At 37.4% G+C, this 17,515-nt stretch overlaps 1 long non-coding RNA gene across 3 annotated transcripts in view, besides 1 other annotated feature; it reads right to left on the bottom strand.

Moving 5' to 3' along the window:
• LANCL1-AS1 (LANCL1 antisense RNA 1) overlaps positions 1-17,515 on the bottom strand; it is a 145,622-nt gene that overhangs the window by 39,372 nt on the left and 88,735 nt on the right. For all 3 annotated transcript variants that reach the window (NR_110604.1, NR_110605.1, NR_110606.1), the window contains exon 2: positions 1,511-1,597. This is a non-coding gene — a long non-coding RNA (LANCL1 antisense RNA 1). The remainder of the gene's footprint in view (positions 1-1,510; positions 1,598-17,515) is intronic.
• Positions 441-1,640: an enhancer, noted in NCBI's record as "MED14-independent group 3 enhancer chr2:211294046-211295245 (GRCh37/hg19 assembly coordinates)". NCBI's record gives its function as "activates an origin of replication core promoter dependent on BRD2, BRD4, P300/CBP and CDK7 cofactors, and independent of MED14, by STARR-seq in HCT116 cells {active_cell/tissue: HCT116}" and the evidence as "EXISTENCE:reporter gene assay evidence [ECO:0000049][PMID:35650434]".

Here is a 17,515-nt window from a genome sequence, read left to right as displayed (position 1 = left end):
TTTGATTATGAGGTGAGATGGTCACGTGGGGATGAAGTAATGCTTTAACATAACATTTGTATGCAGAAGTACAGTATACAGGGATAAGAATTTACAATATAGTGTGTGCATCAGTAATTTCTAACAGAGCCTTAAAACAGAAACACATTCTTTCCATAACCTATGATTAGCAAGATATTAATCAGCAGTAACAGTTGCAGCAAAAGCTGGTTACAGACAATCCATAGAAATAGGACGTGAAGCTAGACAACTGGTTAGACCAGAAATTCTCAGAAGGGAGTATGCCTTAACCCTAAAGAGGCCTAGAAGAGCCATGGCAAGATGAGGGCATTTATAGCCCTATCTTATCCATATGGACAGGCGCCCCCCCATGCGTCCATTTATAGGCTCTCCACAAGGGTCGCATTCCATTCCCAGAGCTATGAATATCTGCTTTTCTGGGATAGGAATCTTGGTGATGATGTGAAACCTCCCTGACTGCAGATCCATTCATAGGCTATCTGCAGGGGGAAGCACATTACATGCTGTTGGCTCATACTGGCAGTCCAACCTGGCATTGTCTTTACACAATCCTGCATGCAACTTTGTATTTACAATAATCAGGAGCATTTCATCTTTTATTCCGTAGCAGTAGTTTCAGGGGGTTCTCCCTACAGCAAGTGAAGGTTTTTTTTCCCTATATATACTCCTGTTTCCTAGGCTTTGCTCCTTTTTCTTCATTGTTGGATAAAACAAGATTTGCACTACTGTCTGAAAATAGAGATTTATAAGAGGAAAATATTTTTAAATCTGATCATTATAGAATTAGGAGGAATCTACTAGCCTTCAAGAACAACATGTATTAACCATCTCATAATATATGAATCTACTGTGGGGTTAATAACTAAAGGCCTAATTCTAGAAATTTATTTTCCTGATGATCAATTCTGCTTTGAATAGAAAAGGGGGGGATTAAATGAGGCATAATTATAAAATATATATGCAGAGGTTAGAAAAATTTTGCTGAGTCACTTGGGATGACTTTGTGCCACTGCTTTTTATGACACAGCTAGTTAGTGTGACTTACCACAACAGAGATTGATAAATTATAAAATACTTGTTTTCATCTCTAAATTACAATTTGTGTGCTGGTACATATGATTAAAATGTCCTTCATACCCAAAGTCTGTTTATTGAGTGACTGATAATACTGAGGATAAATGCAGAGTTACATTTATTTCTCTCATTTGAATGAAGTAAAGGTATGGTAATATCAAGACTCTAGATGTAGGCAGTGAGGCATGGAGAGGACACTACCTTGCAAAGGCCACACAGAGATTGCAAAATGATGCTTAGAAAGGTCCTGCTAACTCTACGAGGTTAGTTTCCATTGGCAAGGCCAGCTCTAGTTTACCGCTCCCTGGCTTATCCTCCTACTATGAGAAAAATAATGACAGGCACAATAAGTTGCACCACAGTTGTAACCTCATGAATGAAGAAAACTTCAAAATATTTGTTTTTTGTGACTTACCTGTAGTATATTTTTTCCTAATTTTGCATTGGAAAAGATCTTAGCCTTTCTCCTCCTCTTCAGCCTTTCTCCTCCTCTTCACACTCTCTGAATAGAAAAGAATAATAATTTTTATGTCATTCTTTTTTTCCAAGATAGTTCCCACTGTGGATTCAAAGTTATTAAAATTCTCATGTCTTCTCTATTCTATTAAGCATCATTTAAACTGAAAACCTACAAGTCAGTTCCCTGAAAATTTGCTTTCTCATTGTTTCTCATCCAAATTTGCCCTCTTCCTTCTAAAGCTGTGGGTCAATTAACAAAACGAGAACTCAGGCTTGTTTTTATCTTTTTTTTGTAACAATGACAAACGTATTGGCTTTATTGGTCCCATGATGTAAACTGTCTAAACACTATTGTCCAGAAGCCCTGTGCTAGTGCATCCTCAGGGACTTATTTGGCAGTTTTGTGAGTAATAGGAGAAGGCAGCAAAGACAATAAGCCAAGAGCTGAAATAATGAGGATTGAGAAATGGATCTTAGCAGGGCTGCTGCTCATAGTCGACCAGTTCAATTTCACATTTCTACATTATGTTAACTTTTCAACCACGTGAAAATTACAACATGGTAACATTAAGTCTGCAACTAATGTTCTAATACTCAACAAGTAAGTGTTAGACAAAGCATTTGTGAGGCACTTAGTCATGTAGGGAGACACGAGACTTTATTATAAGTCAGTTTATAAAATAGTGTTCCAATTGCCTAATTTCTCTTTGATGGAGCTGGGATATTAAGAAAGGCATTTATAAACCAGAAAATACTGATGTGGCTCACTGTGAAAGATGATATTGTTTACTCAGGATTCAGCATTCAGAAATAAACATGCCCTCCCTTGCTGATGCAATCTGAACTGCTGGCACTTTCAGTTTTTATGATGCAGATATGCCATTTTATTAATCATACCATGACCAATGCCTTAAAATCATTTATCCCCAAAATTCATTAAACATGCTATCTTTATGTGCAAGGTACTGGCTAGGGGATCTGTTTGCATAAGGTAGACATCTCTACTCTGGCAACTCAGTCTGGTGAAGACAGGTGACTGGATAAGCAATTGCAAGGAAATGTATTATAATAATCCTATCACCACTCCAACTACTCTTCCCATTATTCCATAACTTCATGTATATTGGGTCTCTCATATGGCCTGCAGTTTCTATCTATGGAGATGGAGTTTAGAACTCTAATAGGAAGAAGACAACTTAAAAGCCAATCAGCCAGCCCAGAAGCACTCAGAGTTCTTTCATTTGGACTACCTTGATGATGAGCAAGGTGGAGGGAAATTTGAAGACAAAGAGTCCTTTGCCCCCTGTTGCAGGAAGTCAGGGACCTTGAATGGAGGGACCGGCTGAAGCCATGGCAGAAGAACATAAACTGTGAACATTTCATGGACATTTATTAGTTCTTTAAAGTAATACTTTTATAATTTCTTACACCTGTCTTTACTGCAATCTCTGAACATAAATTGTGAAGATTTAATGGACACTTACCACTTCCTTAATCAATACTCTTTTGATTTCTTATGCCTGTCTTTACTTTAATCTCTTAATCTTGTCATCTTCGTAAGCTGAGGCTGTAGGTCGGCCTAGGACCTTGTGATGATTGCATTAACTGCACAAATTGTATGTAGAGCATGTGTGTTTGAACAATATGAAATCTGGGCACCTTGAAAAAAGAACAAGAAAACAGCAATGTTCAGAGAACAAGGGAGATAACCTTAAAATCTCGCTGCCTGTGAGCCAGGTGGAACAGAGCCATATTTCTCTTCTTTCAAAAGCAAATAGGAGAAATATCACTAAATTCTTTTTCTCAGCAAGGAACATCCTTGAGAAAGAGAATGTGTCCTTAAGGGGAGGCCTCTGAAATGGCCGCTTTGGGAACGGCTGTCTTTTACAGTCATAGCTAAGGGATGAAATAAGCTTCCGTCTCCTGTAGCACTCCTAGGCTTATTAGGACGAGGAAATTCCTGCCTAATAAATTTTAGTCAGACTGGTTGTCTGCTCTCAAACCTTGTCTCCTGATAAGATGTTATCAATGACAATGCGTGCCTGAAACTTCATTAGCAATTTTAATTTTGCCTTGGTCCTGTGGTCTTGTGATCTCACCCTGCCTCCATTTGCCTTGTGGTATTTTATTACTTTGTGAAGCATGTGATCTCTGTGACCTACACCTTATTTGTACACTCCTTCCTTCTTTGAAAATCACTAATAAAAACTTGCTGGTTTTACGGCTCAGGGGGCATCACAGAACCTGCCGACATGTGATATCTCCCCCAGACACCCAGCTTTAAAATTTCTCTCTTTTGTACTCTGTCCCTTTATTTCTCAGAACGGCCGACACTTAAGGAAAATAAAAAAGAACCTACATGAAATATCGGGTGAATTTCACCTGATATCTGGCGCCCCACATGGTCTTTTTTTCCTAAGTGCATGTGGAGTAATGAGAGATACCCCATACTTTCAATATAAACCTGCAGGAAAACCATGCCCTAAAAATTTTGAGGGCCCATCTAAAACTTTAATTTGGGAAGACTGTGTTTTAACTCACATGGAGTAGTATTAAAAAATGACTCATATGGCTTAGTAATAGACTGGGCACCAAAGGGCTATTTAAAAAACAATTGCTCCTCTGGTGGAAGGGAATGCCTGGAGCCTACTTATTTTATTTCTTATCGGGAGAATGAGAATCATCATTCTACTTTGCATAGGAGGTTCAGCTCATTCCCTTAAAATGGGAAGATAAAGGCATTACCCCCACGAGGCCTCATATGATACTCCCCATTCTGAGCCCAGAACACCCAGAACTTTAGAAATTGGCTATTGCCATGTTTAGACTGTGAGTATGGGAAGGGGAAACTATTATGTCTGTTGTCCCCACTACCGTCCCCCACTCTCAGTATCAACGTAGATCCAGACGTTCGACTTCACTTACCTCCAACCTGACTGTTCACATACAGAGTTGTGTTACGCTTCCTTACATGCTGTTAGTGGGAAATATCAAAATTTGGATGAACAATCAAACTGTCCAATGCATTAATTGTCATTTATACACTTATATTAACTCCCATTTTGACTCCAAGAAAAGTGTAATGCTGGTTCAAGCTCGAGAAGGAATCTGGATTCTGGTAACTTTGCCCAGAGCTTGGGAATCCTCCCCCTCAATACATTTAATTAATGAAGTGTTACAGCAAATTCTAAAAAGATCTAAGAGATTTTTTTTCACTTTAATCGCTGTTATCATGGGCCTAATTACAGTCACTGCAATGGCCACCACTGCGAGAATGGTGTTACATCATTCTATTCAAATGGCTCATTTTGTTAATGATTGGCAAGCCAATTCCACCCAAATGTGGAATTCTCAACAAGGCATTGATCAAAAATTGGCTAATCAAATTAATGATTTAAGACAGGTTGTTATTTGGCTTGGAGATCAGGTAGTGAGTCTCGAACATCACATGCAAATGCAGTGCGATTGGAATACTTCGGATTTCTGTATCACCCCATATTCCTATAACGAGACTGATCATTCATGGGAAATGGTCAAAGGACACCTTCTGGGTAGGGAAGATAATTTATCATTGAACATAACTAAATTAAAGAAACAAATTTTTGAAGCCTCTCAAGTTCACTTACCCATTGTGCCTGGAGCTGAGGCATTAGATCAGATGGCAGAAAATCATTCTAGACTAAACCCCACAACTTAGATTAAGTCTATTAGGGGCTCCACTGTAGTAAATTTTGGAATTATGTTTCTCTGTTTAATTGGCTTGTCTTTAGTGTGCCGGACCAGTCAAAGAATCCCACGTCAAAATTGAGAGAACGAACAAGCCTTCATCGCATGGCACATTTGTATAAAAAGAAAGGGAGAGATGTTGCAGGAAGTCAGGGACCCCAAACAGAGGGACCGGCTGAAGCCATGGCAGAAGAACATAAATTGTGAAGATTTCATGGACATTTATTAGTTCCCCAAATTAGTACTTTTATAATTTCTTATGCCTGTCTTTACTGCAATCTCTGAACATAAATTGTGAAGATTTAATGGACACATCACTTCCTTAATCAATACTCTTGTGATTTCCTACGCCTGTCTTTACTTTAATCTCTTAATCCTGTCATCTTCGTAAGCTAAGGTTATATGTTGCCTCAGGACCCTGTAATGATTGCATTAACTGCACAAATTGTTTGTAGAGCATGTGTGTTTGAACAATATGAAATCTGGGCACCTTGAAAAAAGAACAAGGTAACAGCAATGTTCAGAGAACAAGGGAGATAACCTTAAACTCTGGCTGCCTGTGAGCTGGGTGGAACAGAGCCATATTTCTCTTCTTTCAAAAGCAAATAGAAGAAATATCGCTGAATTCTTTTTCTCAGCAAGGAACATTTCTGAGAAAGAGAATGTGACCCTAAGGGGAAGCCTCTGAAATGGCCGCTTTGGGGACGGCTGTCTTTCACGATCATAGCTAAGGGATGAAATATGCCCTGGTCTCCCGAAGCACTCCCAGGCTTATTAGGACGAGGAAATTCCGCCTAATAAATTTTCATCAGACCGGTTGTCTGCTCTCAAACCCTGTCTCCTGATAAGATGTTATCAATGACAATGCGTGCCTGAAACTTCATTAGCAATTTTAATTTTTCCCCGGTCCTGTGGTCCTGTGATCTCGCCCTGCCTCCATTTGCCTTGTGATATTTTATTACCTTGTGAAGCATGGAATCTCTGTGACCTACACCCTATTCGTACACTCCCTCCCCTTTTGAAAATCACTAATAAAAACTTGCTGGTTTTACGGCTCAGGGGGCATCACGGAACCTGCCGACATGTGATGTCTCCCCCAGACACCCAGCTTTAAAATTTCTCTCTTTTGTACTCTGTCCCTTTATTTCTCAGAACGGCTGACACTTAAGGAAAATAGAAAAGAATCTACGTGAAATATCAGGGGTGAATTTCACCCAACAGCCCCCAAAATTATTTTCAACTCAGCCAACTTCTCAAAAATTCACAGTATTACTATTAATAATTTAGGTTAAATTCATTTTTCTTCAGGAATCTTCCATTAAGATGCAAATATTTTAGAATAGTTACTGATCCTGCTATGTCATAAGCAGCTTATTAATTGGTTCATGACCTAGAGAGAAGTTAACTTGAACTCAACAACACTGTTGCTAGAACATGCTAGTAACAGCATCTTGCTAAGATTAAAAAGATAAAATGATAGCTGCTCACAAAATATTGTTTAGATGTGATGAGTATGAACAAGTAATTTCAATGTGCTGTGGAACTACACCAGCACTACCATGTTATGAGTAGCAAATGTATATACTAGACATGTCATTTTTCTTTATTTGCCATCATCTGCCATTCACCATGACTCATATGGAAGAATTTCATAAAGTGATGGGGGGCATCTAAAGTGACTTATCCAGGGATACTTCAGTGCTTAAGAACAAAGCTGACCCAGAAAGTATATGTGAGTTAATGAAACTGGTTGAAGAAATTTTGACGTTAGGGCTTCTCAACCATCAATGTGCATACAAATTACATGGGGATCTTTTTAAGTAATTTCTAAAATGCAGATCAGGAAGTGCCTGAGATTCTGCATTTCTAACAAATTACCAGATAATGCCCATGCTGGCCACCGAGCCTACTTTGAGTACCATCGAATTAAATTATCCATCATAAATTTCAACTAAATGGAGAAAAAGTAAACTCAGGAGTTGGCTTATGAGTTGGAAGAAATTAAATGATGTTTGTGAAATCAAAGGACTATGCAGTAGCAGCAGGAGCATGAAAGAGCTGGAATGATTGGGGTCTGATTTCTGATATGACACAAATTCTTATAATCTCAAGGCAAAGGGGGTGGTCTTGAGGTGGCCAGTATTCTGTACTGGTGATTTCAGCAAGTAAAAGAAAATTAATTGGAATAAATGTGTTTATAATTTGAATCAGATGTTTTTTCAATCCAAAGACTCACATACTTCTGGTAATATTAGAATGACAGGAAAGATATCTATACTAAAGAATTCATTTGAGTCATCTAGAATCATCAAGGCTCCTATGGGAAAAATGGGGTCCCTCTGCTTCTCATTTAGAATTTATAAGGATTCAAGATTAGCCAACCAATTTTTTAAAGATATTAAACACAAAAGCAGATCAATCACATTCTTTAAAAAAAAAATCTTAGCATGAGTAGTAATTGTATACTAGAGGTGTCATTTTTATTTATTTGCCATCATCTGCCATTCACCATTATTCATATATAAAAATTTCATAAAATGATGGTCTATAGTGCCTTAGAGGCCATTTATCCAGGAACACTTCAGTGCTTAAGAAAAAAGCTGACCCAGGAAGTTTGGAAACTTAATTGTAAATAGGAAAAACTCATTATTCCTCAACTCCTAAATTGAAGCCTGATACAGTAAGTGTGATTATTAATAACCCTATCTTCCTGTTCACAAAAGCATATTCCCTGAGTGTTTTATTTTTAGAATTGATCCAAGTTTGGTTGATTCACATAATCAGTGCATTTTCTACCACTTATAATAGTGAATGTCCAACATGTTTTATTTGATCTCTTACAAGTTCTTAACCTACCCAGTTAAAAATTGAGTTGCTAGGAAGTAACATTAGCAAGATGGCAAAATAGGAAGTTCCAGCCCTTGTTTCTCCACAGAAACACTGATATAACAATATGCAAACCAAAATACCTTTAGGAGAATTCCAGAATCCAGGTAAGAAGTTGTCCCTGGCAGGAACAAAACCAGAATATCCACACTGAATAGGTAAGAAAAGCAATTTCATTTTACCCACGTCAGCGTAGCTTAGCACTGGGAGAGAACAGCCCAGCTTGTGACTTCCTCTAAGGTGGAAAAAAGAGTGGTGCATGCATGAGTTCAGCATTCAGGGTTTTTGGAAGACTAACCTGGTGACTGATTTCTGTCTTACCCCATGTATCATTTGGATGCTTGGGGTGGGACAGTAGGATCACTGAGAACAAAAACAGGTGGAGGGAGGCTTGCTGCAGCCAGAAAGACTTAGTGTGATTGAGAGAAGGTATGCAAGTTGAGGCTTCTCTTTTGGGAGGGAGGGAAAATAGCGAAGCATGCATCCAATATTCTGATTGTTTGGAGGGCTGCCCCAAGGGAATGGTTTCTGCCTCTCGGACTACTGACTTAACCAGCATAGTTTGTATACCTGGGGGGGTCTCTGAGAACAAAGGACAGTCATGGGTCAGCTTGCTGCAGCTGGCATGACTCAACATAATCAGGAGCTGCACAACTTGTGGTTTCTTTCTCAAGAGGGAAAAAGAAGTGAACTGTGCATCGCACGTTCTAGAGGACTGAGGGATATCTGCCTCTCCTGATACAGGGTGCTGACAGGAAAACAGCATACTTTGGATTCCTGGTGGCCACTGAGAACAAGTGAGAGTGCAGCAGATTGCTACTGTAGGACCAGAGAATGTGTAATCCTACATATAGACACCAGAGAGAGAGAGAGAGAAAGATTACAAGCTAAAAAAAAAAAAAAAAAAGGCAAGCTTCTCTAATTGAGAAATTATGTGCACAGACCCAGAGAAGTTGCATCTCTCCCAAAAAGGTTTTGGAAGTTCCCAGAATGTCTAGCTTGGTGAAAGTCTTCCTTTGTATGAATCCAGTGTGTAAACACAGGGAGAGGTAGCTGTCTCTTCAAATGCATGGATCCTATCACAAAGTTGAGTCACATTAAAAAAAAAAAAAAAGTGATATACCGTCCAAACTAAGAAACAAAATAAATCTCCAGACAAATCTAATAAAATGAAGTGATACAAATTACCTGGCAAATAATTCAAAATAATTGTTGTAAAGATGAAATAAAACATCAAGAAAACGATGCATGAAAAAATGAGAATAGGCCGGGTGTGGTGGCTCACGCCTGTAATCCCAGCAATTTGGGAAGCCGAGGCAGGCAGATCACGAGGTCAAGAGTTTGAGACCAGCCTGACCAACATGGTGAAACCCCGTCTCTACTAAAAAAACAAAAATTAGCCGGATGTGGTGGCGAGCACCTGTAATCCCAGCTACTCAGGAGGCTGAGGCAGGAGAATCACTTGCACCCAGGAGGCGGAGGTTGCAGTGAGCTGAGATTGTGCCACTGCACTCCAGCCTGGGCAACAAAGTGAGACTCCATCTCAAAAAAAAAAAAAAGAAAGAAAAGAAAGAATCGGTGAACTCAAATACAGGCCACTTAAAATTACCCAGTCAGGGAAACAAAAAGAGTGAGGAAAGCCTAAGGAAATTATGAGACATCATCAAGTGAATCAAATTATGGGAGTTTCATAAGTAGAAAAGAGAGAGAATGGGGTAGAAGGCTTATTTAAAGAAATAATGGTTGAAAATTTCCCAAATCTGGGGAAGAAAATAGACATCCAGATTCAAGAAGACCAACAAGCTCCAACTAGGATGAACCCAAAGAAATCTACATTGAGATGCATTATGCAGATGCTCCTCAACTTACCATGGGGTTACATCCCAATAAACCCATCATAAGTTGAATATACCATAAGTCAAAAATGCATTTAATACACCTAACCTATGGAATATTATAGCTTGGACTGCTCTATCTTAAACATTCTTAGAACATGGTTAGCCTACAGTTTGGCCAAATCATCTAACACAAAGACTATTTTGTAATAAAGTGTTGCATATTTCATGTAATTTATTAAATGCTGTACTGAATGTGAAAAAGAGAATGGTTTTATGTATACTCAAAGTACAGTTTTTGTTGAATGTATATTGCTTTTGTGCCATCATAAAGTCAAAAATATCAAGTTGAATCATCTTAAATCAGGGACCATCGTAATCAAATTTTCAAAAGTCAAAGAATTTTGCAAGTAGCCAGGAAAAAAAAAAGTAGCTTGTCATATGCAAGGGAGCCTTCATAAAACTATCAGCAGATTTCTCAGTAGAAACCTTATAGGCCAGAAGAGAGTGATGATATAATAAAAGTGCTGAAAGAAAAACCAGACTGCCAACTACCAATATTATATCCAATGAAACTATCCTTTAAAAATAGAGAAATAAAGATTTTCCCAGATAGATAAAAGCTGAGGGATTTTGTCACTAGACCTGCCTTGCAAGAAAGCCTAAAGGACATGCTTCAATTTGGAAAAGACACTAAACAGCAACATGAAAGCACATAAAAGTATAAAACTTGCTGGTAAAGGTAAATATATAGACAAATACAGAATGCTGTAATCCTGTAACAGTGATGTATAAATCACTTCTAATTCTGGTATAGAAGTGCCTTGACCTGAATGTTTGTCTCCTTCAAAACTCCTTAAAATTTCATTGCCATTTTAACAGTATTAAGAGGTAGGACACTTAAGAGGTGATTAGGCCATGTTGGTTACCCCCTCATAGGTGGGACTGGTGCAGTTATAAAATGGTAAGTTTGACCCTCTTTTTCTCCCTCTTGCCCTTCTGCCTTCTACCATACAACAAGGCTCTTGCCAAGTGCTGACCCTTCAATCTTGGACTTCCCATTCTTCAAAACTGTGAGCCAAAAAGAAACCTTCTAATTATTCTAAATTACCCAGTTACCCAGTTTCAGATATTCTGTTATAGCAGCAAAAATAGGGTAAAACAAGAAATTAAAAGACAAAAGAATAAAATAAATATAAAAATACTTTGATACACAATATAAAATGTAATTTGTGACAGTAACAGTGTGTCAGGGTAAAGAGTAAAAGTCTTGAGTATTTGTAAGAGATTGAAATGAAGTTGTTATCAGCTTAAAACAGATTATTTTAACTATAAGATACTTTAAGCCCCATGATAAGCACAAAGAAAATAACTCTAGAAGATACACACCAAAAAGAGAAAGGAATCAAAAGCATGTCACTACAAAAAAATCATGGAAACACAAAAGAAGAGATAAAAAGAGGGACAACAAAGCTGTAAGACAAAAGACAACAAAATAGCAATAGTAATTCTTTTCCTATCAATAATTATATGTACATGAATTTAACTGTGTAATCAAAAGATATACAGTGGCTGAATGGATAGAAAAAAGAAGAATCAACTGTGTACTGTCTATGAGAGATCCATTTTCCATGTAGTACACACATAAACTGAAAGTGAAAGAATAGAAAAAGATATTTTATGCAAAGGATACTATTTTATGCAGAGGATACTAAAAGCTAAAACCAAAAGAGAACAGTGTTGGCCAAACTTAGACAAAATAGACTTTAACATAAAAACTGTCAAAAGAGACAAAAAAGACTCATATAATTATAAAAGGGTCCATTCACCAGGAAGATATAACAATTTTGTGTATGTATGAAAAAAATATATATATATACCTCAAATATCAGAGCACCCAAATATATGAAGCAAACAGCACAACTGAAGGGAGAAATAGTAACAATAATAGCAGGAGATTTTAATACCCCATTTTCAATAGTGGCTAGACCATCCAGACAGTAATTACCATCAGTAATGAAACAGAGAACTTAACACTATAGACCAAATTGACCTAACAAACACATACAAAACATTTCACAAAACATCATCAGAATATACATTCTTCTTGAGTGCACATGGAACATTCTCCAGACTAGGTCACATATTATGTAACCAAACAAGTCCTAACAAATTTAAGAAGATTGAAATTGTATCAACTATATTTTTGAGCCAAAATGGAATGAAACTAGCAATTAATGGTAGAAGAAAAGCAAAAATTCATGAATACATGGAAATTAAACAACACACTCTTGAACAACTAATGAGTTGAAGAAATCAAGAGGAAAAGTAGAAAATATCTTGAGACAAGTTAAATGAAAATGTAACATAACAAAACTTATGGAATGCAACAAAAGCAGTACTGAGGAAATTTTATAGTGATAAACATCTACATTAAAAAAGAAATATATCAAACAACATAACTTCACAAAAACCACAAAAAGAAGAATAAGTCTAGAAAAATAAGATTAGAGCAGAAATAAAATGGAGAAAGAAAAAAATAGAAAAAAAAAGATTAGAGCAGAAATAAAATGGAGAAAGAAAAACAATAGTAAAAAACAAAATTGAATTGATCTTGTAAAGATCAACAAAATTGGCAAACCTTTGGCTGAATTAAGTTTAAAAAAAGAAAGCTATTTAAAAGCTTCTGCAGAGCAAAGGAAACAATCCACAAAGTGAAGAGACATCTCACAGAATGGGAAAAAAATATTTTCAAACTATCCATCTGACAAAGGATTAATAAACAGAACATGTAAGAAATTTAAACAACTTTATAAGAAAAAAACCTAATAACCTAATTAAAAATGGGCAAAACATCTGAGTAGACATTTCTCAAAAGAAGATATATGCACAGCAAAGATATACGAAAAGATGCTCAACATCATTGATCATTAGAGAAATGCAAATCAAAGAAATGAACATCACTGATCATTAGCAAAATGCAAATATAATAAGATATCATCTCATCCCAGTTAAAATAACTTTTGTTCAAAAGACAGGCAATAACAAATGCTGGTAGGGATGTAGAAAAAAGGAAACACTTATACACTGTTGGTTGGAATGTAAATTAGAACATTCACTATAGAGAACAATTTGGGGGTTCCTCAAAAATGTAAAAATAGAATTTTCATATGATCCAGCAATCCCACTGCTAGGTGTATATTCCCCAAAAATAGAAACCAGCATGTCAAATATCTACACTCTGATATTTATTGCAGCACTATTCACAATAGCCAAGATATGGAAGCAACCAGAGTGTTCATCAACAGATGAATGAATAAAGAAAATGTGGGAAGATCCAAAGTTGCCAACTAAGTCACAGCCAGGAAGAGCTGTTTCTACTAAGAGACCAGACCATCAGGAATACAGGCACACACTGAGCAGATTTTCAGAAGGAAGCCATTGAGAGTAGATAGAGGGAGGACACAGACCCTGGGCTGAAGGAAGAGGAAGCTAGGAACGCTGCACTGGGTTACCAAGCACCAGGACTCATTCTGGGCACTGAGTAGCTCCCGGAGAAGAGATTAGTTAAATAGGTGTGGAGTGACCCACTCTCAACTTGGGCCTCTAGAATCCTAGCTGCAGAAGACCATACAACCCCTATATGAGCTTGCAGCACAGCCTCAGATTTCCAATTTGTGTGCATCTCAGCAGCCACTGCCATAGCTCCTTTGCAAGCTGACCTCATCTAGCCATCAGAGAGCTTCTGCAGAAGGGTCCCTGCCAGCAAGCATCTGCCCACAGCCTCACCCCACCACTTTGCCAGCTTGCACTCACTTGCAGCCTCCCTCACTGATTTGCTGATGCACATGCATGTGGAGACCCAGCTACCTTGTCACTGTCTGTTGCTGCTGGCACATGCGCCCAAGAACCTCACTGCACTGCCACCCTGTTGCCACTGGCTCATGTGCACAAACATGCACCCTGCTGCCACTGCCCCAGTGAAGCATTTTTGCCAGAACCCCACATTAGAGTGTTGTTGCCAATGGACAGGGAGTACCTTGGTCCTTTCAGTGCTGCAGACACTTATTCTCAAGGGGCCAGAGAACAAAGACATGGGCCTGGTTCAAGCCCCCAGGGTTAGAGCATGCAATCTGGGAGTAATGAGCTGAATCTTGGCCCCCTGAAATTGTCCAGAAATGAAGCCAGTCAGCTGAGCCCAACTTATACCACAATCAGATCCTCAAGGGCTTCAAAGAGTATAAAAGCAAAAAGCCCCATCCAAATGAAATATCATCTCACCCCAGTTAAAATGTTTTCTACATCCCTGCCAGCATTTGTTATTGCTGGTCTTTTAGATAAAAGTTATTTTAACTGGGTTGAGATGATATCTCATTGTATAATATATGACAGCACCTTCAAACATTAAAGGGACATCAGCCCACACAGATGAGAAAGAACCAGTGCAAGAACTCTGGCAACTCAAAAAGCCAGAGTGTCTTCATACCTCCAAATGACTGCACTAGCTCTCCAGGAATGGTTCTTAACTGGATTGAAATGGCTGAAATGTCAGACATAGAATTTAGAATCTGGATGGCAATAAAGATCATCAAAATTCAAGAGAAAGTTGAAACCCAATCCACGGAATCAAAGGAATTAAATGAAGCAATACAAGAGCTGAAAGAAGAAATAACCATCTTAAGAAAGAACCCAACTAAGCTGATAGAGCTGAAAACCCCACTATAAGATTTTCATAATATAATCAGAAGTATTAACAGAAGAATGAAACAAGCTGAGGAAATAATCTCAGAGCTAGAAGTCTGGTTCTTCAGATTAACTAATCAGACAAAAAAAAAAAGAAAAAAGAATTAAAAAGAATAAATAAAATATCCAAGAAATATGGGATTATGTGAAGAGATCAAACCTACAACTCATTGGTGTCCCTGAAAGAGAAGGATTGAGATTGAGGGCAAGCAGCTTGGAAAACATATTTAAGGATATTGTCCATAAAAGTTTCCCCAACCTTGCTAGAGAGGTCAACGTTCAAATTCAGGAAATTCAGAGAACTTCTGTGACATACTGAACAAGATGACCATCCCCAAGACACATAGTCATCAACTTCTCCAAAATCAATGTGAAAGAAAAAATATTAAAGAAAGCTATAGAGAAGGGGCAGATCACCTACAAAGGTTACCCCATCAGACTAACAGCAGACTTTTCAATAATAGTGGAAGAATTAAACACCCGACTGACAATGTTAGACAGATCATTGAGGCAGAAAACTAACAAAGATATTCAGAATCTAACTTGACACTTAACTAAATAGATCTAACAGACATCTACAAAAAACTTGCCACCAAAAGCAGAATATACATTCTTCTTATCTGCACATGGCACATACTCTAAAACTGACCACATGCTTCGTAATAAAGCAATTCTTAAAAGAAAACCTAAATCGTAACAACTACACTTGGACCATAGTACAATAAAAATATAAATCAATACCAGGAAGATCTCTCAAAACCATATGATTATATGGAAATTAAACAATCTGCTCCTGAATGACATCTGGACAAATAATGAAATTAAGGCAGAACTTAATAAAGTCTTTGAAACTAATAAAAACAAAGATACAACATACCAGAATCTATGGGACACAACTAAAGCAGTGTTAAGTGGAAGACTTACAGTGTTAAACACCCACATCAGGAAGTTAGAAAGATCTCAAATTAACAACATCGCATCTAAAGGAACCAGAAAAATAAGCGCAAACCAATACCAAAGCTAGCTGAAGAAATGAAATAATTAAAATCAGAGCTATACTGAACAAAACTGAGACTTGAAACACCATACAAAGATTAACAAAACCAAAAGTTGGTTTTTTTGAAAGAATAAGATTGATAGACTGCTAGCTAGACTAATATAAAAAGAGAGAGAGAAGATTCAAATAAACACTATCAGAAATGATGAAAGGGACATTACTACCAACCCCACAGAAATATAACAAAAAAAACCCTCAGAGGCTATTACAAACACCTCTCTACACACAAAGTAGAAAACATAGAAGAAATGGATAAATTCCTAGAAACAAACAACCTCCCAAGATTGAACCAGGAAGAAATCAAAATTGAACAAATAGTGAGTTCTGAAATTGAATCAGTATTGAAAAACCTACCAATCAGAAAAATCTCTGGATGAGACAGATTCACAGCTCAATTCTACCAAACATATAAAGAAATTACCAGTCCTACAGAAACTAAGCCAAAAACTTGAGGAAGAGGGATGCCTCCCTAACTCATTCTATAAGGCCAGCATTATTCTGACACCAAAACGTGGAAGAGACACAATGAAAAAAAGAAAACTTCAAGCCAGTATCTTTCATGAACATGATGCAAAAATCCTCAACAAAATAATAGTGAACCAAATCCAGCAGCACATCAAAAGCTAATCCCATGTTCAAGTAGGCTTTATTCCTGGGATGCAAGGTTGGTTCAACACACACAAATCAATAAGTGTAATTCATCATATAAACAGAACTAAAAACAAAAACCATGATTATCTCGATAAAGGCAGAAAAGGCTTCCAATAAAATTCAACATCCCTTCATGTTAAAAAACCCTCAACAAACTAGGCATTGAAGGAACAGACCACAAAATAATAAGAGCCATCTATGACAAACCCACAGCCAACACCATAATAAATGGGCAAAAACTAGAAGCATTCCCCTTGAGAACTAAAACAAAACAAGGAAGTTCACTCTACCACTCCTATTCAGCATAGTACTGGAAGTTATACCTAGAGCAATCAGGCAAGAGAAAGATATAAAAAGCATTTAAATAGGAAGAAAGGAAGTCAGAAGGAAGAAAGGAAGTCAAACTATGTCTCTTCACAGATAGTGTGATTCTATACCTAGAAAACCCCATAGTCTCTGCCTAGAGGCTCCTAGGTCTGATAAACAACTTCAACAGTTTCAGATACAAAAATAAATAAATAAATAAATGTACAAAATCAGTAGCATTTCTATATACCAACAATGTCCAAGCTGAGAGACAAAGCAAGAATGCAATTCCATTCACAATAGCCACAGAAAGAATAAAATACATAGGAATACAGCTGATCAGGGTGGCAAAAGATCTCTACAACAAGAATTACAAAACATTGCTGAAAGAAATCAGAGATGACACAAACAAATGGAAAAACATTCCATGCTCGTGGATCGGAAGAATCAATATCACTCAAATGGCCATACTGCCCAAAGCAATGTATAGATTCAATGCTATTCCTCTCAAATTGCCAATGGCATTTTTCCACAGAATTAGAAAAAAACAACTATAAAATTCATATGAAATCAAAAGAGAGCCCAAATAACCAAAGCAATCCTAGGCACAAAGAACAAAGCTGAAAGCATAACACTACTTTCAGACTGTGCTACAAGGCCAAAGTATCAGTTTTGTATCAGTTTAGTACTGATACAAAAACAGTCACATAGACCAATTGAAAAGAATAGAGAACCCAGAAATAAAGCTGCACACCTA

The sequence above is a fragment of the Homo sapiens genome, chromosome 2, assembly GCF_000001405.40.
Source record: "Homo sapiens chromosome 2, GRCh38.p14 Primary Assembly".
Classification (NCBI taxonomy): Eukaryota; Metazoa; Chordata; class Mammalia; order Primates; family Hominidae; genus Homo; species Homo sapiens.
The sequence above is the reverse complement of the archived record's forward strand: the minus strand, read 5'-3'. Positions and strand labels throughout refer to the sequence as shown.